The 26,066-nt window shown below is 43.5% G+C and overlaps 1 protein-coding gene and 1 non-coding gene across 8 annotated transcripts in view, besides 1 other annotated feature; both read left to right on the top strand.

Moving 5' to 3' along the window:
• SERINC5 (serine incorporator 5) overlaps positions 1–26,066 on the top strand; it is a 144,824-nt gene that overhangs the window by 9,231 nt on the left and 109,527 nt on the right. The window lies entirely within an intron of this gene.
• Positions 264–766: an enhancer, noted in NCBI's record as "OCT4-NANOG-H3K27ac-H3K4me1 hESC enhancer chr5:79541871-79542373 (GRCh37/hg19 assembly coordinates)". NCBI's record gives its function as "activates a minimal SCP1, AML or CMV promoter by ChIP-STARR-seq in naive H9 embryonic stem cells {active_cell/tissue: H9 hESC(naive)}" and the evidence as "EXISTENCE:reporter gene assay evidence [ECO:0000049][PMID:30033119]".
• On the top strand, positions 7,229–7,331 carry LOC124901201 (small nucleolar RNA U13). The gene has a single exon (XR_007059165.1). It is a non-coding gene; the product is annotated as a small nucleolar RNA U13 (small nucleolar RNA).

Genomic DNA, 26,066 nt, shown 5'->3' with positions numbered 1-26,066 from the left:
CATATTCTTCTAGCTTATATATTAATGATATTTCAAAACATTTTAGAACTTAATCTGAGAGTCAGTATAGGGCAGTAGGAAATTCAAATACTGAGTTGGTGTGATTACACAGAACATCTGTTTGAATTTTAAAGGGAAGCAGGATTTTACTTTTGGCTTTTCTTCCGTAGTTTGCCTTGTGAGATTAAAATTGCTGATGTTTAAGGAAAGCAGCTGTTGTGGAAAGACTTAGTGGGTTTTTATCAGAGAGTAAATTTTGAAACAATTTGTGGGTTTTTGAAGTAAGGTTACAGTATATAGTGATTAGACAGCATTTTCACTCTCTCATGAAAACTGTGTAGTCAAAACAAAAGTAGGAAAAACACATGCATAACCCCTTAAATCTTATTTATGAAAAGATAACTAGCGAAGATGGGAAAATCAGACTTGTGTTTAAGTATCATTTTTTTATAAACTAGCTAAGTGCATTTTGAAACAAAATTCATGAGGTCTTTGTGGAATGCCTTTTCCATTTTTTTGTTTTGTTTTGTTTTGTTTTTGCACTCACATTATGTCTCAGCAATTTAATGGAGGGCTGATTTCCTAATGCTTTGATCCTTGGTGAGTGTGGTTCACCCCAACTAGGGAGGAATTCAGTCTTTTGTTCTTGATTCCATGCTCATTGATCTCCTCCACTGCCATTCTCAGAAACAATGGCAGTATTTTGTTTCCATAGTAATGAAACTGTTTGCTCTAATAGGATTCTATAGTGGTAATTTTTCTTTAGCTTTGCTAGCCTTATCCCTAAGGACTCTAGGACTTTGTTGGACTTATTTTGTTAGCTGTTACTCTTTTTTTTTTTTTTTTTTTTTTAAAGAGCTGACAATCCCTAAAGTAAAATGTCAATTGATAAATATTCTCTGGGGCCAGGTGTGGTGGCTCACACCTGTAATCCCAGCATTTTTTGGGGCTGAGGCGGGTGGATCACCTGAGGTCAGGAGTTGGACACCAGCCTGGCCAACATGGTGAAGCCCCGTCTCTACTAAAAATACAAAAATTAGCCAGGCATGATAGCACATGCCTGTAATCCCAGATACTCAGGAGGCTGAGGCACGAGAATTGCATGAACATGGGAGGCTGAGGTTGTAGTGAGCTGAGATCATGCCATTGCACTCCAGCCTGGGCAACAGAGTGAGACTCAGTCTCAAAAAATAAAAAATAAAAAAAAATAAATATTCACTGGGTGCCTAGAATAATGAAGTTCAGAGGCTGTATGTAGCTAGCCCTGCTTGTGCTTGGGAGTGACTTGTGAATAGATGCTGAATTTGCTAGCCTATGAGACTGTGCCTGGGCCAGTGCTTCTTCACAGACTGGATTGAGGGTTTGTTTGCCTCAGCTTTGCACCTTTTATCTTTTGGAAAAGGAGTAGAAGCTGGGGGTCCCTTGGCAGGGACATTTGCCCCCAGAAGTGGATGAGCCCATGCAGGGGAGCACGGGGAGAGTGGGTCCTCTTTCCTGAATGGGCTCTAGAGATCCATGCAATCCTGCAGTTGCACACACAGTTGTGTTGTTTATGTCCTGAACACTTTTCCAAGAAGAAAGTCCCCATCATTTCTCAGCTTCTCAAGGAAATCTCACCTCAGGAAAAAACAGCTGTAGTACGAGAAGGAAAGCCTAACCTTGGAACCTTGAGAAACATCTCCAATTCAAAAGGCACACATTCCCTGTAGCCAACAGGGAAATAAAGGAAATTAAGTGAAGGTAGAGCCTGCCTGGAGGGTGGGGAGAGGTGTGGAGCCAACTGGCCTGGTCAGACGACAACTTGAAGTCAAGTGAGAGAGGAAGATCGAAGATCAGTGCCTGTGGATTTTTTGAGAGTGCTGGCTTGTCTGGAGGCTGAGGTGGGAGGATCGCTTGAGCCCAGGAGGTCGAGGCTGGATGAGTTTTGATCTGCGACACTCCAGCTTGGGCGGCAGAGTGAGACCATGTTTCTTTTTTTGTTTGTTTTTGTTTTTTTGAGACGGAGTCTCGCTTTGTCACCCAGGCTGGAGTGCAATGGCACGATCTCAGCTCACTGCAACCTCTGCCTTCTGGGTTCAAGCGTTTCTCCTGCCTCAGCCTCCCGAGTAGCTGGGATTACGGGCGCATGCCACTAGGCCCGGCTAATTTTTGTATTTTTTAGTAGAGATGGGGTTCCTTCATGTTGGTCAGGCTGATCTCGAACTCCTGATCAACCCGCCTCAGCCTCCCAAAGTGCTGGGATTACAGACGTGAGCCACTGTGCCCGGCCGAGACCATGTTTCCAAAAATAAAAAAAAGAGTAAGGCCAGGTGTGGTGGCTCCTGTCTGTAATCCCAGCACTTTGGGGGGCTGAGGCAGCGTATCACTTGAGGTCAGGAGTTTGAGACCAGCTTGACCAACGTGGTAAAACCCCATCTCTACTAAAAATACAAAAATTAGCCAGGCCTGGTGGCAGACATCTGTAATCCCAGCTACTCAGGAGGTTGAGGCTGGAGAATCGCTTAAACCTGAGAGGCAGAGGTTGCAGTGAGCCGAGATCGTGCCATTGCACTCCAGCCTGGGTGACAGAACGAGACCCCATCTCAAAAAAAAAAAAAAGTGCTTGGGGGTTTTGGCAGCCTCAGTTTCCAGGCAGCAGAAGGTAGAGAAATGCTGGGGAGCTGAGGAACTGAAGCCAGGGAGGGGAGGTTATTATCTTTTAAGATAAAAGGAAGCACAGATTAAGAGCCTAAAGAGGTCTGGGCTGGGCCTAAAAGGATGGTAGTAGGAAAACAGCTTCCTGCCCCCAAATTGCAGGATGCTGAAGTTTAACTATTCTTTAAGTTCTGCCAAAATCGAGTCCAAGGGTAGCCCTCCATCCCCTTTTTTCTTCAGAGAAATCCCCCACTTTCTGTGCTCCCCCACCGTCTACTTTTTCTATGAAAGTTTGTGGAATCTCATCAACTGGGATTCAGTTCTTTGAAAAATTCTGTAGAGGCAAGTCTGGTTCTGGAGAGATCCAGGTTTTGCTGCTTGCTTATTTTATTTTGTTTTATTTATTTATTTATTTATTTATTTATTTATTTATTTATTTAAATAGAGACAGGCTCTCACTATGTTGCCCAGGCTGGTCCCAAACTCCTGGGCTTAAGCAATCCTCCTGCCTTGGCCTCTCAAAGTGTTAGAATTACAGGTGTGAGCCACCATGCCCAGCCTTGCTTGATTTTTGAGGCAGGTTATGGAACCACAGAAACTCTTGGAAGATACCTTAAAAGGCATCTGTTTTTTTTTAATGACCCATCTGAAGCTTAGATGTCCTTTTTAATGCCCCTCTTCAGTGTGCATCTGTGTTTGAATCTGTCCAGTGCTGGGGAGCTCACTACTGTTCCTAGTTCTTAAATTTTCTTGTTAAGTAGGGGAAATTCCTGTCTTGTCTCCCTAATGTTGTTAAAGAGATAAAATCCCCTTTAACAATATTAGTGATTGTTGAAGGGATGCAAATCAGATGTTTTATGTAAGAGTCTTTTTTTATCTGTAAAGTGGTGATGCAGTGTGTCAGGGTTCAGTGTAGGAAGCCAACATCACTCTAGGTATTTTAAAAAGAAGAAGATTTACTATAGGGAATTAGGTATGTTTAAAAAATAATTGTAGAACTAAAGGAGCAAGAATGAAGGGGCCACCCCCTGGGACTCTTGAACTTATGAATGTTGCCTAAAGACCAGGGGTTCTCTCTAGGTCCTGCTGCTCAGCACACAAAAAGCCCACGACTGAGATCGACAAGGATTGCCAAGGAAGAAGGCTTTAATCGGGTGCTGCAGCCAGGGAGATAGGAGCTCAGTGTCAAATCTGTCTCCCTGACCTACTAAAACTAGAGGTTTGTATAGCAGGGAAGAAATGTAACAATGTGTAACATTTTGAGATGCAGTCTTGCTCTGTCATTTAGGCTGGAATGCAGAGGCCTGATCTTGGCTCACTGCAACCACTGTCTCCCAAGTTCAAGCAATTCTCATGTCTCAGCCTCTGGAGTAGCTGGGATTACAGGCATGTGTCACCACGCCCGGTTACTTTTTTTATGTTATATATTTTTTTTAGATGGAGTCTCACTCTGTCACCCAGGTTGGAGTGCAGTGGTGAGATCTTGGCTCACTGCAACCTCCGCCTCCTGGGTTCAAGTGATTCTCCTGCCTCAGCCTCCCGAGTAGCTGGAACTACAGGCGCATGCCACTACACTTGGCTAATTTTTGTATTTTTAGTAGAGACAAGCTTTCACCATATTGGCCAGGCTGGTCTCAAACTCTTGACCTCGTGATCCACCCGCCTCGCCTCCCAAATGCTGGGATTATAGGCGTGAGCCACTGCGCCTGGCCTAATTTTTGTATTTTTAGTAAAAATGGGATTTCGCCATGTTGACCAGGCTGGTCTCGAACTCCTGACCTCAAATGATCCACCCACCTTGGCCTCCCAAAGTGCTGGGATTACAGGTGTGAGCCACCACACCTGACCTATTTTTCTAAAAGGGTCTTTTTTTTAGTATTTGGTAGATACTAATATAGCCATACCACCCTTTTGGCTTTCAACTAATCTGTCTTTATACTTAAAAGTATGCTTTTTATAGACGTGATAGAACTGGGTCTTTCTTGCTTTTTAATCCAATCTGACAATCTTTGCCTTTTTGTTTTGTTTCACTTTTTTTGTTTTGTTGTGTTTTCAGATGGGATCTTGTTCCATTGCCCAGGCTGGAGTGCAGTGATACGTTCACAGCTCACTATACCTTCAATGCCCTGGGCTCAAGTGATCCTCCTACCTCAGCTTCCCAAGGAGCTAGGACTACAGATATGCATCACCTGACATGGATTTTTTTTTTTTTAATTCTCTTTTGTGGAGACACGGTCTTACTATGTTGCCCAGGCTGGTCTCAAACTCCTGGGCTCCAAGTGATCCTCCTGCCTTGGCCTCCCAAAGTGCTGGGATTACATGTGTGAGCCATTGTACCCAGCCAATCTTTGTCATTTAATTGGATGCTTGGATCATTTACATTTAATGTAATTACTCATATGTTTGAGTTTAAGGCTATAAATTGTTGATCAGTTTCCATTTCATTTCCCCTTCTTTTTTTTATTCCTATTAATTATTTTTTAGCGATGGGTTCTCACCCTGTCACCCAGGCTGGGGTGCAGAGGTGCAATCATAGCTCACTGCAGCCTCAAACTCCTTTGCTCAGGTGATCCTCCTGCCTCAGCCTACCAAGTAACTGAAACCTGGCTCATTTCCTCTTCTGTTCTTTGTTCTTATCTTTTTTTGAGGAGAGGGCTAATTGAATATTTTTCACTGTGTTTATATGCCTTTTTATTTCTTCTTCTTATTATTATTTGAGACGGAGTCTTGCTCTGTCACCAGGTTGAAGTGCAGTGGCGCGATTTTGGCTCACTGCAACCTCCGACTCCTGGGTTCAGGCAATTCTCCTGCCTCAGCCTCCCGAGTAGCTGGGATTACAGGCACGTGCCACCATGCCTGGCTAATTTTTGTATTTTTAGTAGAGATGGGGTTTCATTGTGTTGGCCAGGATGGTCTCGATCTCCTGACCTCGTGATCCGCCCACCTTGGCCTCCCAAAGTGCTGAGATTACAGGTGTGAGCCACTGTGCCCAGCCTTGCCTTTTTATTTCTTAAGATGTTCTAAGGATTATAGTATGTAGCACCTTGAAAAAGGGAGAAGCATCAAAACTTTTATCATTAGTGATGGAAACCAATCGCTAGGTAGGCAGATCAATTTACTAGATACTGATTTAATCTTGAAATGATGAATTAAGTAACATGATATGAAAACTAACTTAAAAACAATATTTTATGCTTTACAGAAATACACGGCCGAGCACAGTGGCTCATGCCTATAATCCCAGCACTTTTTGGGGACTGAGGTGGGCGGATCACTTGAGCCCAGGAGTTCAAGACTAGCCTGGGCAAAATAGTGAGAACTCATCTCTACAAAATATCAAAAAATTATTCAGGCATGGTGGCATGCACCTGTAGTCCCGGCTGCTCGGCAGGGGGATGAGGTGGGAGGATCACTTGAGCCAGGCTGAGGAGGTCGAGACTGCAGTGAGCCATGATCTTGCCATTGCACTCCAGCCTGGGCAGCAGAGGGATACCTGTTTATATGATTTAATTAATCATACAAATGTTTATTTTATTTTCCTTTTGGACATTTAGTGTAATTTTTAAGAATGAATGTAAATACTCTACACTAGAGCCCTGGAAATAGTTCTGCTACAATACAACATGACATACGCATTCTAAAAATTACCACATTAAGCAGAACTGCACAATGAAACCACAGGTCTCACGGGGAAAATTTGGTTAAGGGCACAATATTCTAAAACTTTGTCAGTGACACATCTGAAAAAAGGAACTGAATAAAAATGATATAGTTTTATAAATGTTAAATGGTTAAGAAATACATAACTACTATGGTAAATTTGGCATTTTATTTGAAAAAGTCTTCAAATTACCTTGTGGAAATGGGTTTGGAGAGTTAGGCTTTTGAGCAGTTGAGAAGCAGTGGGAGGAAGGTTATCTGGAATTGGATGGAAAGTTGTAACATCAAATGTGTTTGGTGTGACTCAGTGCACTTGTTGAGCTGAGCTGTGTGCATTTTTTGTGTATTACCACGAAGCTCAATTCAGCTTGGTGCAGTTTTCTACCTGGTGTTTCTCAGTAGACAGAAATGCACATCCTATTATGCCTAATTGTTCCGTAACATATCCATCCTGTTGGAGCAATTTTGTGTTTTCAAAGTAAGTATAGAATAAATAGCTCAGAAGCCTTGGACTTGCAGAGCTTCAGGAAGGCTGACCAAGCCTTGCTCCTGTTAGCTGTCTGAGGGAGAGAGCTGGCCCCACTGACTTCCTTTGGACCACCTCCCAGAAAATTGGCGCTGGAAGGGTCTTCTGTTCTTCTGACCCAATTGTGCTCGATTTCTTGTACCATAATAAACAAACAACTCCAGAGGCAGGAACTTCCTATCTTTGAAGGCAGCTCTACTTCACCCTTAGGGAGATCTGGTTTAATTCTTCTTCCTGCTGGCTTCTCAAGGCTGTAGTGACTTGCCTGTATCCTGGGGAGGGATACAGCTATTTTTGTATAATAAAGTTAAAAGAGGCGGAGTGGAAGGTGGGCATGGTCTGTGGCTCCTGGCTCATAGGGTACCACAATTTGGTTGATATTCCTGTTTCTGATTGTAAGAATCCAGTTTCCTTTTTAGTTCATAAGCATGATGATTGGGTTTTCATGCTTGTCTGTGAGATGTGCCTCCCTTAAATCTTGTCATGTCGTTGGTACATTACCCATGTGACATGAAAAAAAAAAAAAAAAAGAATCCCAGTGTTCACCCAAACCATAAACTGAAAATTGGGGGCATGCTGACAAGGGGGATTGTGCCTCTGGGTATGAGAAATTTCACTAAGAAGCCAAAATATCAGACCTTTTAGCACACTCCAATAGTTTTTAAGGATAATGGTCAGGCAGTTTGAAATTAGAACCATTGTGGGAAGTCTTTGGTTGGCAGCCAGCCAGAGAAAGTCTCACAGCTGCTGATGAGGTTTCTGATGGGCGTAATGCCCGTTGCTCCGGGTCCTGCGTTGCCATTCTCAGATGGCTTATGGGCTGTCCATGGGGTTGTGAGAATCTGGGAAGTCACAGTCTAATTCTGGAGCTAGAAGGATCCTTAAGGCAGTGGCATATCCACCTAATAAGTTTTTTTCAGGAAACAGGTCCTGGAGCACAGGGTATCTTCCAAGGCCACACAGCTAGTCAGCTCACAGCAGGTACTACCCCTGTGCTCTCCTAGCCTTTGCTATTTTCCAATGCCCAGTACACACTTGGCCTTTGGTAAATGACGAGAGCGTGAATGAGTGGATGTTGGGCTTTTCCCAAAGATAATCTGCTGTCTGTGCAGAGCAGTTCAACAAAGAGCTCATAGCTATGGATTTTAAACACAGTCTTATGATTTGATTATTTGAATCTCGGATTGGGTTTTTTTTTTTTTTTTTTTTGAGATGAAGTCTTGCTCTGTGGCTCAGGCTGGAGTGTAGTGGCAGGATCTCAGTTCACTGCAACCTCTACCCTCTGTCTCCAGGGTTCAAGCTATTCTCCTGCCTCAGCCTCCCAAGTAGTGGGATTACAGGTGCCTGCCATCACGCCCAGCAAATTTTTGTATTTTAGTAGAGATCGGGTTTTGCCACGTTGGTCAGGCTGGTCTGGAACTCCTGACCTCAGGCAATCCACCTGCATCAGCCTCCCAAATGCTGGGATTACAGGCATGCGCCACCATGCCTGGCTCTGGATTGGGGTTTTATACTGTATTTTGTTGTAATAAAATCTGTTTAAACTTTTTGTTCCCTTCCTTCTCTTAAACTCTCAAGCAGTTGTTTAAGTTATTTTCCAGAAAGTTCTGCTCTATGCGTGGATGATAGAATTTAACAGAAAGCGGTTTCTAAGAGTGTACTATCTCACCGTTAGTGTAGTTGGCGGAAGTTGCAGGTTGCTGAGTAAGGGGTATGAAGCCATTTAAATGAGGCACTTTATGCAAATCATTTTGCCTAGCAGCGGCTTCTGGCTGGAGGCTTTGAAAAGCATGAAGCTGTAAATTATTTCCTTATGATGGGGGGCGGGGAGGAATGAGGGTTGCCACGGGATTGCAATTTTTCTTTTTTCTTTTCTTTTTTTTTTTTTTTTTTTGAGACAGAGTCTTACTCTGTCGCCCAGGCTGGAGTGCAGTGGTGCGATCTCTGCTCACTGCAATCTCTGCCTCCCGGGTTCAAGTGAGTCTCCTACCTCAGCCTCCTGAGCAGCTGGGACTACAGGCGCGCGCCACCACGCCCAGCTAATTTTTTGTATTTTTAGTAGAGATGGGGTTTCACCATGTTGGCCAGGATGGTCTCGATCTCTTGACCTCGTGATCCACCCGCCTTGGCCTCCCCAAAGTGCTGGGATTACAGGCGTGAGCCACCGTGCCTGGCCGATTGCATATTTTTTGGAAGCAAGAGTTCCAGCAGGGCTGAGTCTCTGACTTCTTTTTTTTTTTCTTGCAGAGGGGTGTGGCAGATAGCTGGACCCAGGGCTTGAGAGGAACACCAATGCTCATTTCATTTGCCTTTCATTATGGATTGCTTGAGGGTATTCTCTGATTATTAGAGAGAACTGGCAACTGGTGGGGAGGTGGCTCTTGCTTGTAATCCCAGTACTTTGGGAGGCCGAGGTGGGCGGATTACTTGAGCCCAAGAATTCGATACCAGCCTGGGCAACATAGTGAAACCCCATCTCTACAAAAAAATACAAACATTAGATGGGCGTGGTGGCGTGCACTTGTAGTGCTAGCTACTCTGTAGGCTGAGGTGGGAGGATCACCTGAGGCTGGGAAGTTGAAGCTGCAGTGAGCCATGATTGTACCACTGCAACCCAGCCTGGGTGACATGACAAAAGACATGAAAAAAAAAGAGAGAGAAAGCCCTCTTCTTCTCTTCTTAGCATTTCATTCTCCTTTTTTGATGTTTGTAAAACAATTAGAGAGTCCTGTGCAAAGCTGATATTTAACTTACCCCCAGATGCCAATAGCACTCACCAGTCTTTGTGAAAACACTGCCCCTGCCTTTACTACCAAGGATGCACCTGACCCCTGGGGCAGGCAGTGATACTGCCCAGAAAAGAAACACTGGGGCCGGGCGCAGTGGCTCATGCCTGTAATCCCAGCACTTTGGGAGGCCGAGGCGGGTGGATCACCTGAGGTCAGAAATTCAAAGACCGGCCTGGCCAACGTGGTGAAACCCCGTCTCTACAAAATACAAAAAAGTTAGCCCGGCATGATGGCGGGAGGTTGAAGCAGGAGAATCGCTTGAACCTGGGAAATGGAGGTTTCAGTGAGATGACAATGCACCATTGCACTCCAGCCTGGGCAACAGAGCAAGACCTTGTCTCAAAAAAATAAAAAAAGAAAAGAAAAGAAAAAAGAAACACTGGGCCAGGTGCGGTGGCTCATGCCTGTAATCCCAGCACTTTGAGAGGCGGAGGCGGGTGGATCACCTGAGGTCAGGAGTTCGAGACCAACCTGGGCAACATGGTGAAACCCCCGCCTCTACTGAAAATACAAAAATTAGCTGGGCGTGGTGGCGTGCACCTGTAATCCCAGCTACTTGGGAGACTGAGGCAGGAGAATTGCTTGAACCCAGGAGGTGGAGGTTGCAGTGAGCCGAGCTGCCATGGCACTCTAGCCTGGACAACAGAGCGAGAATCTGTCTCAAGAAAAAAAAAAAAAAAAGATTTAGGACTTAAGCTACTTGAAGTATTTGATGGGAGGAAAAGGACAAACCTGCTTTCTACTGAGAATTAATTTAAACATATTTTTGGTGTGGATTTTTTAGGCTTTTTTGTGCATATAGTTCAGAGGCGGTGTAGCTGAGAAGTTAAGAGCCAGTTCTAATGATAGGAAGCCTGAGTTCCGGTATGTTCTCAGCCATTTACTGGTGGTGTGCCCTTGATCAGTTACTTCATCTGTCTGTTGTTTAGTTTGTACATCTGTAAAATGGGATAATCCCTAGGATCTCTTTTATAGGATTTTGCGCTTGGAACAGTGGCTGGCCCACAGTATGAGTTCATAAATGTTAGATGTTGTAGTTTTGGGGAGGACCGTCACTCTCCCTTGGGATACTGATATCCAAATTGTAAGTTGTCAGTAGGCTTTCTTTGAAGTTTGCTCCACACCCTTTCCATTAAAATAAGTAATGTGTAGATCCAGTATTTAACCGTGATAAAATGGGTTAAAAAGGAGTCCATTAAAAGTATTGAGAAAAGATGGGTGAACTTTTAAAATAATCTAAAATGGCCAAGATTTTTCTAAGCATGACACACAGTTATTCGTAGAACAGGGATCCACTTGCCTTAATTTGCACAGTGTTCTTATAAATCAACAGAAAGTACACATAACAGAAAAATTTAAAAGGTTAGGGATCATTTAGGAAAAAATGCAAATGCCAACAAATGTGAGAAAATGCTCAATCTTACTTATAATTTAAGAACTACAATTCAGCCAGGCGCGGTGGCTCATGCCTGTAATCCCAGCTACTTGGGAGGCTGAGGCACGAGAATTGCTTGAACCCAAGAGGGAGAGGTTGCAGTGAGCCAAGATCATGCCACTGCACTCCAGCCTGGGCGACAGAGCAAGACTTGTCTCAAAAACAAACAAACAAAAAACAACAAAAAAATTACCATTAAAAATGAGAGAGTTTTCATTGGCAAAGTTAAAAAGAAAGGTGAAAGAAAAACCTACTCTTCTTGATTTGTGTTTGTTCACTTATGGAGAATTTATTTTGTCATAATGTCTGAATCATAATTAAATATGTTCTTGGGTCTAGCAGTTCTTCTATTTCTTGTATTAGAAGTAAACTTGGAACATCTTAAACACTGATAATGAAGACTAATTTGAAATAAAAAGTTACTAGCCTTTCATACAATGAAATATGTTGCCGTTAAAAAGAATGAAATTAACAATGGAATATTATACAGCCTTAATAAAGAAGGAAAACTTGTCACATACTACAACGTGGTTGCACCTCAAGGACATTATGCTAAGTGAAATAAAAGTATACAATAAAAGTCACAAAAGGACAAATACTGTATGATTCCACTCATATGAAGTGTCTAAAGTAGTCAAAATCATAGAAAGTAGAAAGGTGGTTCCCAAGGGCCCAGAGGAGGTAGGAGGGAGAACTTGTGTTTAGTGGGTATAGCGATTCAGTGCTGCGTGATGAAAAAGTTATAGAAATCTGTTGGACAACAATATGAATATACTTAACACTACTGAACTGTACACTTAAAAGTGGTTAGGATGATAAGTTTAATGTTATGTGTGTTTCAGCATAGTAAAAAAAAAGAGTAAGTTAAATCTGTGAGGAACAGGTAGCCAAGATAACAGTGTTAGTTAAGTAGGGGTTATAAAAAGAGGAGGTTAAAGAACACTGTGTCTATGATGAACCCAATTATGGTTTCCAATTTGAAAGGCATGTATGTATCCATGTATGTAGGTACATATATATGCAATAATTCTGAGAGTTTTAAAGATATCCTAGAAACTGCCACCGGTGGTTACAGCAATAGAGTAATAATAGGAGGTTGGAGGGTAGGGGATAACGTTGGGGGCATTTGTTTTTCATTCAACAACTTTAAAGCTTATTTTAGCAAACCTAAATGTGCGAAATTCATCATGTTTTATAATTGTATTTGCTAGCACTGTTTTCATTTTGATATCATCCCTGCCCTTTGTGGTGGGAGTGGTGGTAGTGTGTGATGTGTTTAGAAGTGGGTTTGGAGATAACAGAGTTTAACACATTTTTGCATTAGAAAGGAAACATCAATTTGGTTGCACAACTGGTATGAATATGTGGTGTAATTTATTTTTATCAACATTGTCTACAATTTACATATGTAAATGTAGATTTTTCTTAAGTGTAGTGAGGTGAATGGAACTGGAAAAAACGGGTACGCCAATCCTAAAACAATGGTGCTAAGATTAAACTGTCAGATCAGTCTTTGTCAAGTGCTCCAGCTGGCTGTGGATTATTAGGAAGTATTATTCAAAGGGCTGCTTTGGTACAAGACAAGAAAATTGCTGGAGAAATGACTGCTCTGGTGCTAAGATTCAGCCATTTCAAATGTGCAGTCTCTTAAAAGTAAAAGTTGGGGTCGGGCATGGTGGCTCACGCCTGTAATCCCAGCACTTTGGGAGGCTGAGACGGACGGATCACGAGTTCAGGAGTTTGAGACCAGCCTGGCCAATATGGTGAAACCCTGTCTCTACTAAAAATACAAAAATTAGCTGGGCATGGTGGCGGGCACCTGTAGTCCCAGCTACTCAGGAGGCTGAGGCAGAAGAATCACTTGAACCCGGGAGGCAGAGGTTGTAGTGAGCCGAGATCATGCCGCTGCACACCAGCCTGGGCGACAGAGTGAGACTCTGTCTCAAAAAAAAAAAAAAAAAAAAAAAAGTAAAAGTTGAAAGATCTATAAAATACTTCCTGTAAACTTTACAAAGCATTTTACAGCAGACTAATAACTTAAGAAACATATGAAGCAATTTCAGCTCCTAAAGTCCTAGGAATTTGCTTTTGGGGATACTTTTTATTTATAGGATACTTCCTATTTATTTATAGGATACTTCCTATTTAAATTAACAAGTGTTCAAAAAAAAAGTCCTAGTTTTATTTTTATTCTTAAAGTGGCATTGGAGAGATGTCCACACTTGCACTTCTCTAATGAGCAGAGATGTCCAACCAAGTGATTTTAGAATTATTGAGTTTTTTTTAAACTTATCCTAAAATGGCTATTAGGTTATTTTTAACTAAAGAAATTATTATTGTTTTTTTGAGATGGAGTTTTGCTCTTGTTGCCCAGGCTGGAGTGCAATGGTGCGATCTCAGCTCACCGCAACCTCCGCCTCCCGGGTTCAAGTGATTCTCCTGTCTCAGCCTCCTGAGTAGCTGGGATTACAGGCATGCACCACCATGCCCTGCTAATCTTTTGTATTTTTAGTAGAGATAGGGTTTCTCCATATTGGTCAGGCTGGTCTCGAACTCTCGACCTCAGATGATCCGCCCTCCTTGGCCTCCCAAAGTGCTGGGATTACAGGCGTGAGCCACTGCACCCGGCCTTAAAGAAATTATTGCTAAAGTAAAAAGTAGTTTCACATAGCATATACAGCCCAGTCATTTAAAGTGTGCAATTCAGTGGTTTTATAGTATATTTACAGAGTTGTGGAACCATCATGACAACTTAGTTTTTGTCACCTCTATGCTTATTAGCAGTCACTCCCAGTTCCCTCCCAAACTCCCTCAGAGCCCTGGCAATTGTTAATCTACTTGCTGTCTCTATGGGCTTTTGTAGACGTTTCCTATTAATGAAACCATATAATGTACAGTCTTTAGGACTACTTCTTTAACTTAGTATGTTCTCAAGGTTCATCCATGTTGTAGCACGTGTCAGTACTTCATTCCTTTTTATTTTTTTTTTTTGAGATGGAGTTTCGCTCTGTCACCAGGCTGGAGTGCAGTGGCGTGATCTTGGCTCAGCACAACCTCTGCCTCCTGGGTTCAAGTGATTCTCCTGCCTCAACCTCCTCAGTATTTGGGAATATAGGTGTGTGCCACTATGCCCAGCTAATTTTCATAGTTTTAGTAGAGATGGGGCTTCACTATGTTGGCCAGGCTGGTCTTGAACTCCTGACCTCATGATCCACCCGCCTTGGCCTCCCAAAGTGCTGGGATTACAGGCGTGAGCCACTGTGCCTGGCCAGTACTTCATTCCTTTTACTGGAATATACCACACTTTACTGAAACCCATTCCTTGCTGATGATCATTTGGGTTGTTTCCACTTTTTTTTTTTTTTTCTTTGAGACAGAGTCTCACTCTGTCGCCCAGGCTGGAGTGCAGTGGTGTGATCTCAGCTCACTGCAAGCTCCACATCCCGGGTTCTTGCCATTCTCCTGCCTCAGCCTCCCGAGTAGCTGGGACTACAGGGGCCTGCCACCACGCCCGGCTTTTTTTTTGTATTTTTAGTAGAGACAGGGTTTTACGGTGTTAGCCAGGATGGTCTTGATCTCCTGACCTCGTGATCTGCCCGCCTTGGCCTCCCAAAATGCTGGGATTACAGGCGTGAGCCACCTTGCCCGGCCTTTTTTTTTTTTTTTTTTTTTAAGACAGAATCTTGGTCTGTTTCTCAGGGTGGAGTGTGGTGGCACAGTCGTGGCTCACTACAGCCCTGAACCCTCAGGCTGAAGTGATCCTCCTGCCTCAGCCTCTCATGTAGCTGGGACCACAGGAGCATGCCATCATGCTTGGCTAACTTTTTTGGTATTTTATAGAGATGGGATCTCACTATGTTGCCCAGGCTGGTCTCCAACTCTTGGGCTCAGGTAATCCTCCCTTCTTGGCCTCCCAAAGTGCTGGGATTACTGGCATGAGCCACTGCACCTGGCCATTCTTAATGAGTTAATTTTTGTCTGGTATGGGGAAAGGGTCCAACTTCATTGTTTTGCATTTGAATATCCAGTTCCACCAACATTTGTTGAAAAGACTATTCTTTCCCAGTTGAATTATCTTGGCAGAATTAGTTGACTGTCAGTGTTAAGCTTTATTTCTGGGTTCTCGATTCTATTGATTTTTTTTTTTTTTAATTTGACTGTACGTTGGAAGAATTATTCATCTGGAATTTAGACCTACTGGGGCTGGTGGTCATGACGCTGGAGGTTGTGTTTTGGGAACTGGTGACCAGTCATTCTTAGATGGCTGACTCATTTTTTTTGTGACCATGAGATTTAAACATTTATAGAGATTTAATTGTAAGTAACAAAGGCCTGCAGTAGATGCTGTTACAGGCATGAGAAATGATTTTGTTTATACAGATCACAAACTATAAATACAGTGGCAGTGGTCACTGGAGCCATCCATATATCACAGTTAAACTGTTCTCCTGAGTAATGGGGTTGTCAGCACTGAAGTACACTTCCTTGCCATGTGGAGCAGTAGCCGGTTCTTTATTTAATATTTTCATTTACTAAGCAATAACTTAATTGGAAAATGAATTTTGATTGGGTTTTCTATAGTTAACTGTTTTTTAAAAGTACTATTCCCTTTTTCTCTTTTCCACATTCACTTTGGTGAGGTAGTTAAGAATACTGGCTTTGAAACTACCTGGGGCTGTTGCAGTGGCTCACACCTGTAATCCCACCATGTGAGAGGCTGAGGTAGGAGGACTGCTTGAAGCCAGGAGTTCGAGACCAGCCGGGCAAAACCCAGTCTCTACAAAAAATACAAATATTAGCCAGGTTGGTAGTGTGCGCCTGTAGTTCCAGCTACTCGGGAGGCTGAGGAGGAAGGATTGCTTGAGCCCAGGAGGTTGAGGCTGCAGTGAGCTGTGATCGTGCCACTGCACTCCATCCAGCCTGGGATAGAATACTGTCAGAAAGAAAGAGAGAAAGAAAGGAAAGAGAGAGAGAGAGAAAGAAAGAAAGAAAGAGAGAAATTATACCTGGGTTTGGACCCTGTGCTCACCACAAAGGAGCTGTGACCTTGGGCAATTTATTTCCTAGAGTCCAAGTTTCCCAACTGGTACAGAGGAGAAAAATAATAATAACAGTAATACCTGACAGGTTGGGAGAGATTGTGCTGGTGTCACAGAGTCTGTGACGGCACTTGTAAGGGAGTGCTGCATAAATGAGAGTGGCGGCTGTTGTTGCATTATTATTTGTTTTACATGGTTATAAAACTTCCCTCAAGCCCCGTTTGAAAAGAGAAATCAGTAGTTGGCAAACAAATTTGAAGAGCAATGGTTTCTTTTTTTTTTTTTTTTTGTGACAGTCTTGCTCTAGAATGCAGTGGCGGGATCCTGGCTCACTGCAACCTCACCCTCCTGGGTTCAAATGGTTCTCCTATCTCAGCCTCCTGAGTAGCTGGTGCATGCCACCACACTTCATTTTGCTGTATTTTTAGTAGAGTCAGGGTTTCACCATGTTGGCCAGGCTGGTCTTGAACTCCTGACTTCAAGTGATCTGCCTGCCTCAGCCTCCCAAAGTGCTGGGATTGCAGGTATGAACCACCGTGCCTGGCCAATAGGTTTTTGGTCAGGTGTGAGGTTTGGGTGATGGGGTTGGGGATGCTAGAGCTGCAAGCTCCTGGAGCAGGCTGAGCCTCCAAGAGGGAGCGAGTCCTTGGGTTCCTTCTGCCCTGGGAATTTCCTGAGCAGTGGGAGGAGAGCTGGCAACTAGGTAAATCTCCCAGAGTTTGAGGAAATGAGATGCTAGTGCTTTGGAGTGACTAGGTTTAGATCCCAGCCCTGTAAACCTCTGGCCTTCCTTTTCGAGCACACTGAGAATAATATTGACAATTAACGTTCTAAGTGCCTTGAAAACATTCTCAGTCCTAATAATCCTATGATGTAGGAACTACTGTTGTCTCTGTTTTGTATGAGGCAGCAGAGGCACAGAGCATTTAAGTAGCCTTGTATTGAATGAAATGAGCATGCATGCAAGCTAACATTAAACACTTACGGACCAGGCACATGTGCTGAGCACTTTACATGGGTGATTTCATGTAATCTTTACAGATGTTCATCATTATAACTTTATATGGCTGAACAGGTCTGTGTTTTGTTTTTTCCTTTTCTTTTTAATTAGTTCCTGTAAGCAGAATGTCTGTGTTTTTGTATTGCTTCACTGGCCAAGAGATTTCTCCCTACATTAAGGAGCAATTTTTTGTTGTTTACTTTTACCCTTTCCTAGTGTTGACTTAAACAATGAATGTTCAATGTAGGTGAGTTCAAATTCTAGTTTGTTTATATTGATCACTTTTAGTTACTCAATAACTTTAAAGGTTGGTTGCAAAACTATTTTGTTTTTTGCAGTCTCTGAAAAGAGGATTCTGAGATGTTAAATTAGCAAAAAAAAAAAAAAAAAAAATTGTGTAAGTATGTAAAATGCCAGGAATGGTGGCTCACCCCTGTGATCCCAGCACTTTGGGAGACCAAGGCAGGTGGATCACTTGAGGTCAGCAGTTAGAGACCAGCCTGGCCAACATGGTGAAACCCCATCTCTACTAAAAATACAAAAATTAGCCGGGCGTGGTGGCATGCGCCTGTAATCCTAGCTACTGGGGAGGCTGAGGCACAAGAATCGCTTGAACTCAGGAGGTGGAGGTTACAGTGAGCCGAGATCGCACCACTGCACTCCAGCCTAGGCAACTCCATCCCCAAAAAAAAAAAAAAAAAAAAAAAAAAAAAGGTATGTAAAACATTGGTGGTATTTTGAGAAAAAAGAAATTCTCTGAATTTATCACTAAATTTGTTGTAAGCCTAAGTATAGTTTTTGTTTTCCACCTTTTTCTTTTGTTCTTGTTTCTTGTCATAGTTAACTTTGAAGAGTTTGGAATGATCTTTTTATTTATATTAGAGTGTGAGGTATTCTAATGCTATCAACAAGAAAAAACCATGAATTATGTGGGAAATTTTAGACAAGGACATTTTGTGCAGAATGATAGTGAATGAGAATTTAGGCAACTTAAAATTTTTGTCCTGGCTGGGCATGGTGGTTCATGTCTGTAATCCTAGTGCTTTGGGATTGAGGCTGGGAGTTTAAGACCAGCCTGGGGAGTATAGCAAACAAAAAATAAAATAAAAAAACTAGCAGGGCATGGTGGCATGTGCCTGTAGTCCTAAGTACTTGCGAGGCTGAGGCAGGAGGATCATTTGAGGCAAGGAGTTCAAGGCTCCAAAGAGCTATGGTTGGACCACTGCGCTCCAGTGTGGGCAACAGAATGAGACCCTTTCTTAAACAAAAAAAAAATTCTTAATAGTTGAAAGAGAAAGGCAATGATGAAAGATTTGGATTGTGATTCAAATTTTATACATACTACAAGTGCCAAACTCAGTTTTCACTCTGTTTTATGCTGAGTGTCTATACATTTTTTCTTTCCTTCCTTCCTTCCTCCTCTCCCCCTCCCTCCCTCCCTCCTTTCCCTCCCTCCCTCCCTCCCTCCTTTCCTTCCCTCCCTCCTTTCCCTCCCTCCCTCCCTCCCTCACTCACTCTGCTGCCCAGGCTGGAGTGTAGTGCCGAAATCATAGCTCACTGTAGCCTTCTTGACCTCACAGGCTCTGGTGATCCTCCCATCTCAGTCTCCTGGGCAGCTGAGACTACAGGTGCATGCTACCATGCCTGGCTAATTTTTTTTTTTTTTCATATTATTTGTAGAGATGGGGTTTTGCCATGTTGCCCAGGCTGGTCTCGAATTCTTGGGCTCAAGTGATCCACCCACCTTGGCCTCTCAAAGTGCTGGGATTACAGATGTGAGCCACCATGCAGGCCAAGTGTCTGTACTTTTAACCAAAGTCCAGAATAATTGCTAGAAACTTTTAAACCTTCTTACCTTGTGTAAACACAGGTTTTTTCTTTTTTGTAAGTCAGGGTCTCACTCTGTCGTCCAGGTTGGAGTGCAGTGGCACTATCTTGGCTCACTGCAACCTCTGCTTTCCGGGTTCAAGCGATTCTCATGCCTCAGCCTCCTGAGTAGCTGGGACCGCAGGTGTTCGCCCCCACCCTGGCTAGTTTTTGAATTTTTAACTTTCAAATGATTGACTGCAAAAATCAGGTAGTCAATTTAAAAATAAACATCTACACATGCGATTCTTTTTTTTTTTTTGTATTTTTAGTAGAGACGGGGTTTCACCATGTTGTCCAGGCTGGTCTCAAACTCCTGGCTTCAAGTGATCCACCCGCCTGGGTCTCCCAAAGAGCTAGGATTAGAGGTGTGAGCCGCTGCTCCCGGCTGTAAACACAGTTTTATTATGAGGTGTGCTGTGACTCTCTAGAGACAGCTCTGCTCTAGAGACGGCACCATAGCAGCACAGGAAAGAGTTTAGGGCCTGGCTGACTGAGTTCCTATCTCGACCTTAGGAGAGACCTCAGTTTTCTCATTTGTGAAAAAAATGGAATTCGTTTTTCCTTTTTCTCTCTTTTCTTCCTTTATGTTTTCTCTACTTATTTTGTCTTTTCCTCATTTTTCAGTCAGTATAGCTTATAAAATTTTTTCTGATTATAAAAGTAGGGCATAGGCCAGGCGCAGTGGCTCATGCCTGTAATCCCAGCACTTTGGGAGGCTGAGGTGGGTGGATCACCTTAGGTCAGGAGTTCAAGACCAGCCTGGCCAACATGGTGAAACCTTGTCCCTACAAAAAATACAAAAATTAGCCGGGCGTGGTGGGGGGCACCTATAATCCCAGCTACTCAGGATGCTGAGACAGGAGAATTGTTTGAACCCGGGAGGTGGAGGTTGCAGTGAACTGAGATCATGCCACTGCACTCCAGCTCTGGGCAACAGAGCCAGACTCCATCTCAAAAAAAGTAGGGCATATTATGCCAAAAATTTAAATTATAATCCTCTTACTTGTGAAAAATGGCAATATGAGTATTTACTTCATGGGATTATTGTGAGGATGAAGTAAATCCATGCTAAGAACTGAGGACCCTACCTGGCACCTAGAAAATGCACAATGCAATTTCCTATTATTTAAAAAAATTATTATTAGTATCACTGCCACAAATTACAAGAAGAATGAAGAATGGCTTTCGGAACGGTGGTGGGATGCCCAAGGCTGTGCTGTGTTCTCGCAGAAAGCATTGGGAATGGCACATCTCAAGGTCAGGACTAGCCCTCACAAGGGGCAGCATCCAGTGGGCTCTTCTGACTGCTGTAGGTGCATGCACCTGTTTTAGGGTCTCTCTTGATTTTATGTTTCTATAGGGGAGTAGGTGGAGGAGGGGTCAAAACAGTATATTCCAGATATCCTGAGATCTGGTGAAGGAAAACTGGTTTTGGAATCCTGTTGGGCTCTGGAATCAGAGATCAGGATTTTGGTTTATCCCAAAGTGGCTTCTGGAAAGTCGGTTAACCTCTGAGACTCAGATTTCCTCATCTGTCAAATGGAGATTGTGATACTTCTATCAAAGGGTTATTTTTGGCCGGATGCAGTGGCTCATGCCTGTAACATGGCAAAACCCCGTCTCTACTAAAAAATACAAAAAATTAGCCAGGCATCATAGTGTGCACCTGTACTCCAGCTACTTGGGAGTCTGAGGCACGAGAATCGCTTGAAGTGGGAGTTGGAGGTTGCAGTGAGCTGAGATCGTGCTACCGCACTCCAACCTGGGGGGACAGAGTGAGACACTGTCTCAAACAAAAGGCAGGGGGGTGGTTTTTTTTTTTCCTTTGGGGAGATTAAATGAAAGGTCTTGAAAGCACCTTAGAGTAGTACCTTGATACATAGGAAGTACTTAAGAAATGATAGGTAACTATTACTTATAATGAGTGCTGGGTAGAAGGATCTCCTTGGTTACCAAAGACACTCACATCTTTAATTTTGGTGTTTCGATGGAAGCACAGGATATAATTCTCTGCCTCCTTAAATTGTTGAACGTGCTGCAAAGTTTGACATTTAGAAATAGAACTAGGGCTGTGGGGCTTTGTTCCGTCTTTAGGGCTTTGTTCTCTGCCCTTGCGTACACACTCGTGTGCATGTGTGAGTGCATATTACACAGGTGCATGGGATAACCCTACTCTTTTAAGGCAGTATGGAAGTAGCAAAGCTGCTGTCTTTGTCTTTTCGGGTGTTGCTGGTCTCCTCTGTCAGCACCATCAAGGCTTTGCTGCTCATTGCACTCATCCAGCAGGGTGCTATCAGGAAGAAGGAGAATGAGTTCCAAAAATAAGGTAACTTATTCAGGCTTCACATTTGTCTCTATGTTGGGAATGATGCTACTCTCCCTGCCTGCCTTGTGGAATGGTTATAAAGATAGAATGAGAGGAAGGTTGTGAAGGTGTGATCAAGGTGTTACACCAATCATTAAACATTATAAAGTATTGCAAACAAATGGACTTAGGAGTCACCTGACTGAGGCAGAAATTCCAGTTCTATTTAATAGGTTTGTCTGTGTTATTTGATCCACTTTCTCATTATAATAGAGGTGGATGATAACAGCATAGGGCTGTGATAAACATTAAATTCTGTAACTTATGTAAAGAATCTAGTGAAGTATATGTTGCACATAACAGGTACTCAAAAAGTTGTGTTTGGGTTAGTCAGGAGTTTGAGACCAGACTGGGCAACATGGTGAAACCCAGTCTCTACTAAAAATACAAATGTTAGCTGGGTGTGGTGGCGTGCCCCTGTAATCTCAGCTACTCGGGAGGCTGAGTCAAGAGAATTGCTTGAACCTGGGAGGCAGAGGTTGCAGTAAGCCAAGATCACGCCATTGCACTCCAGCCTGGGCAACAAGAGCAAAACTTGTCTAAAAAAAAAAAAAACAAAAAAAAACAAAAAAAAAAACGCTGGGCGTGATGGCTCACGCCTGTAATTCCAGCACTTTGGGAGGCCAAGGCAGGTGGATCACGAGGTCAGGAGGTTGAGACCAGCCCGACCAACATGGTGAAACCCCGTCTCTACTAAAAATACAAAATTAGCTAGACGTGGTGGTGCATTCCTGTAATCCCAGCTACTCGGGAGGCTGAGGCAGGAGAATCACTTAAACCCAGGAGATGGAGGTTGCAGTGAGCCGAGATCACACCATCGCATTCCAGCCTGGGCAACAAGAGGGAAATTCCGTCTTTAAAAAAAAAAGTTGTGTTTTTATACACTTTTCAAGAGCTGTTGCTTCTGTTACTATTGTTTCTGCTGCCTATTTTCTCTTTTCTTCCCCAATTTCTCCCTTCTTTGGAAGGACTGGATGTTGGCTAACATGGTGGCTCATCAAACATGACTGTTTTTTTTTCTTTTGAGACAGGGTCTTGCTCTGTCACCCAGGCTGGAGTGCAGTGGTGCAGTATCTGCTCATTGCAGCCTCGACCTCCTGGGCTCAAGGGATCCTCTCACTTCAGCCTCCTGAGAAGCTGGGACTATAGTCGTGTGCCACCAAGCCTGGCTAATTTTTGTATTTTTTGTAGGGGTGGGGTTTTGCCACTTTGCCCAGGGTGGTCTTGAACTCCTGTGGTCTCAAACTCCTGGACTCAAGCCATCTGCTCGCCTCAGCCTCCCAAAGTGCTGGGATTACAGGGATAAGCCACTGTGCCCAGATTCATTTCTGACTTTTCTTTTTCTTTTTTCTTTTTTTTTTTTTTTTGAGACGGAGTTTTGTTCTTGTCGCCCAGGCTGGAGTGCAATGACAGGATCTCCACTCACTGCAACCTCTGCCTCCCAGGTTCAAGCGATTCTCCTGCCTCAGCCTCCCAAGTAGCTAGGATTACAGGCGCCCGCCACCACGCCCAGTTAATTTTTTTTTTTTGTATTTTTATCTGAGACGGGGTTTCACCATGTTGGCCAGGCTGGTCTTGAACTCATGACCTCAGGTGATCTGCCTGCCTCGGCCTCCCAAAGTGCTGGGATTATAGGCGTGAGCCACCGCGCCCGGCTTGACTTTTCTAACTTTCTCGTTGATGAGTAGATAGTTGTATCATCACAGATTAAATCTTGAGGTTTTCATCTATTCCTGGCTATGGTGAGAGCTACCCACCCTGCCAAGCTCAGGAATGCATTCTTTCAAATCATTCTGGATGCGTAGGGTACTAGGAATTTAGTCTGTATGATTGCATTTTATTTTAATTTAATTAGAACTTTGACCCTCGAACTTGCTCTCAGGGTGGGATATTCTTTAGAAAGCATGAATAGCCTATCCTTACTGTATACCATGAGAAAGTTAGTGATACTAACCAGTTATAATTTTATAAAAGAATATGATGATATATATAGTCAGCCCTCTGTATCCGTGGATTCTGTGTCTGGATTGAACAAACCATGGATCAAAAATATTTGGGGAAAAAAACAAAACAATAAAAATAATACAAATTAAAAAATATAGCACAACAAATTTACATGGCATTTACATTGTATCAGGTATTATGAGTAATCTAGAGATAATTTAAAGTATATAGGAGGATATGCATAGATTATATGCAAATTCCATTTTATATCAGGGACTTGAGCATATGAGAATTTTGATATTCACGCGAGGGGTCCTGGAACCAGTCCCTCGCAGATACTGAGGGATAGCTATATGCCTTATAAAATCCCAGGCATATTTGTTTATGAAAAGGCAAGCTAGGCTGGGCACAGCGGCTCATGCCTGTAATCCCAGCACCTGGGAAGGCTGATGCTGGTGGATTGCCTGAGTCCAGGAGTTCAAGACCAGCCTGGGCAACATAGTGAGACCTCATCTCTATAAAAAAATAAAAAAAATTAGCCAGGCATTCTGGCACAGTAGTTCCAGCCAGTTGGGAGGCCAAAATGGAAGGATCACATGAGCCCAGGAGGTCGAGGCTGCAGTAAGCTGTGACCGTACCACTGTACTCCAGCCTGGGCAACAGAGTGAGACTGTCTAAAAAACTGGCCGGTATGGTGGCCCACACCTGTAATCCCAGCACTTTGGGAGGCCGAGGCGGGTGGATCACCTGAGGCCAGGAGTTCGAGACCAGCCTGGACAGCATGGTGAAATCCCATCTCTACTAAAAATACAAAAAATTAGCCAGGTGTGGTGGCAGGCACCTGTAATCCCAGCCACTTGGGAGGCTGAGGCAGGAGAATTGCTTGAACCCAGGAGCCAGAGGTTGCAGTGAGCCGAGATCGCTCCATTGCACTCCAGCCTGGACAACAAGAGCGAAACTCCGTCTCAAACACACACACACACACACTCACACACTCACACACTCACCCACAAAAAACCCACCAAAACTTCTGGGTTGGATCTGGTGAGGTCACAATTTTGGATTTGGTTCCCACGTGGTCCAGTTTTGTTATTATGAAGTAAATCTCTGTTTCAGAGGCCACCATATCACATTTCTCGAGTCTCCTTGTAGACACCTAACTTGTCCGTGATGATGTGAGGTAATAACAGGAGATAATGATTCAGCAAAGCTTTGTCCCGCCACTGAGAAATTGCTTTGAAACAGTGGCCCATCCACAGTTGCAAAGTGGGGGTGATTCTTCTTCAGGGAGCATAGCGTAGCAGATTTTCCCCTGCGTCCTCTGTGTTTGTTCCTCAGTGTCTGGAAAGTGCTTACCCTAGAGAGTGAGCTTGGGACCATTTTTATTAAAGCTATTATTATTATTATTTGAGACAAAGTCTCACTTTGTCACCCAGGCTGGAGTGTGGTGGTGCGATCACACCTCACTGCAACCTCCACCTCCTGCGTTTAAGTGATTCTCCTTGCCTCGGCCTCTCAAGTAGCTGGGACTGCAGATGGGCACCACCACGCCTAGCTAATTAAGAAAATTTTTTTGTAGAGCTGATGTCTCCCCACAACCCAGGGTGGTCTTGAACTCCTGGGCTCAAGAGACCCTCCCACCTTGGCCTCCCTAAGTGCTGGGATTATAGGCGTGAACCACCGTGTCTGGCCATTAAAGGTATCCTCAAAACTCATTTTATAGTATTTATTTTCTTTTGATGTTCATTGATTTTTTTTTTTTTTGCTAAAGTTGTCTTGCTTTTTAATGTAGACCAATGGAGTGCATTTTACAGACAACAAAACATATCCTATATGGTGGGTAGCAAATTAAATAGGCTTTTTACTTTTTTTCTACTCTTTGATTCTTTACCTATTAAAATATTGCAGTTTTCTCTTCATTTAAAAAACTTATGAAATTCGTGCTTAATGTTAAACCTTGAAAACATAGACAAGATAAAGTAAACAAAGGCCATCTAACATCCCATAATCCTGGTTAATATTTTTGTGTATTCATCTCTCCTAAGGATGTGTCCATTAGCATTTTTTCCAGGTTGAATTACAGATACCTTTTTCAGAGACTGCATGCTAGTCTCTCATGATTCCCTTATCTGTTATATTGAAGTCGTGTGTGATCGCACGGGAAACTTGCTTTTGTTATTTGCCATCACCAAAGGACCCTTCTGAATGAAGAGCGAGGGCAGCTGGCTGTTGGGTGTGTGGCGTGTTGTCATCACTTGAACACAGGATTATTAAAGGTGCGCAGGATTGTTAAATGTGCCTGCTGTCGGCTGATGTCAGATGATCCCCTGGGAAGGTTTATTTATTTATTTATTTATTTATTTTTACCCTGCAGGCTCCAGTTCTGCTTCAGCAGATCTGGGATGGAGGCTGAGACTCCCCGTGATGCCCAGGCAGCTGTTCATGAGCCCCCTTTGGAGTACCATTGAGCCAAGGTCCTCTAGCATGGCCGAGTGCTCTCTGCTCTTGCAGTGAGGCAGTCTCTGCTTTTGTTCTGCTCAGGGCTGACCTGTTTTGGGGGGCTTCCTCCACTCTTGGGGGGCTTCCTCCACTTCCTGGCTCTTTTCCCTCATCCACGCTGCTCAAGACCCCATTTCTTCCCTGCTGTCTCATGCATACATCCACGCTCCTCCCAAACCTCTGTTCCTGTCACTCCAGCAGGCTCCTCCATCTCCCCAGGCCACCCTCCTACCACCACCACTCCCACCACCACATCAGAGTCCTTTTTTTTCCAGTTACTACTTGATTGCCCCCCTCCCCACTTCA

This window comes from Homo sapiens, chromosome 5, assembly GCF_000001405.40.
Source record: "Homo sapiens chromosome 5, GRCh38.p14 Primary Assembly".
Taxonomy (NCBI): domain Eukaryota; kingdom Metazoa; phylum Chordata; class Mammalia; order Primates; family Hominidae; genus Homo; species Homo sapiens.
The sequence above is the reverse complement of the archived record's forward strand: the minus strand, read 5'-3'. Positions and strand labels throughout refer to the sequence as shown.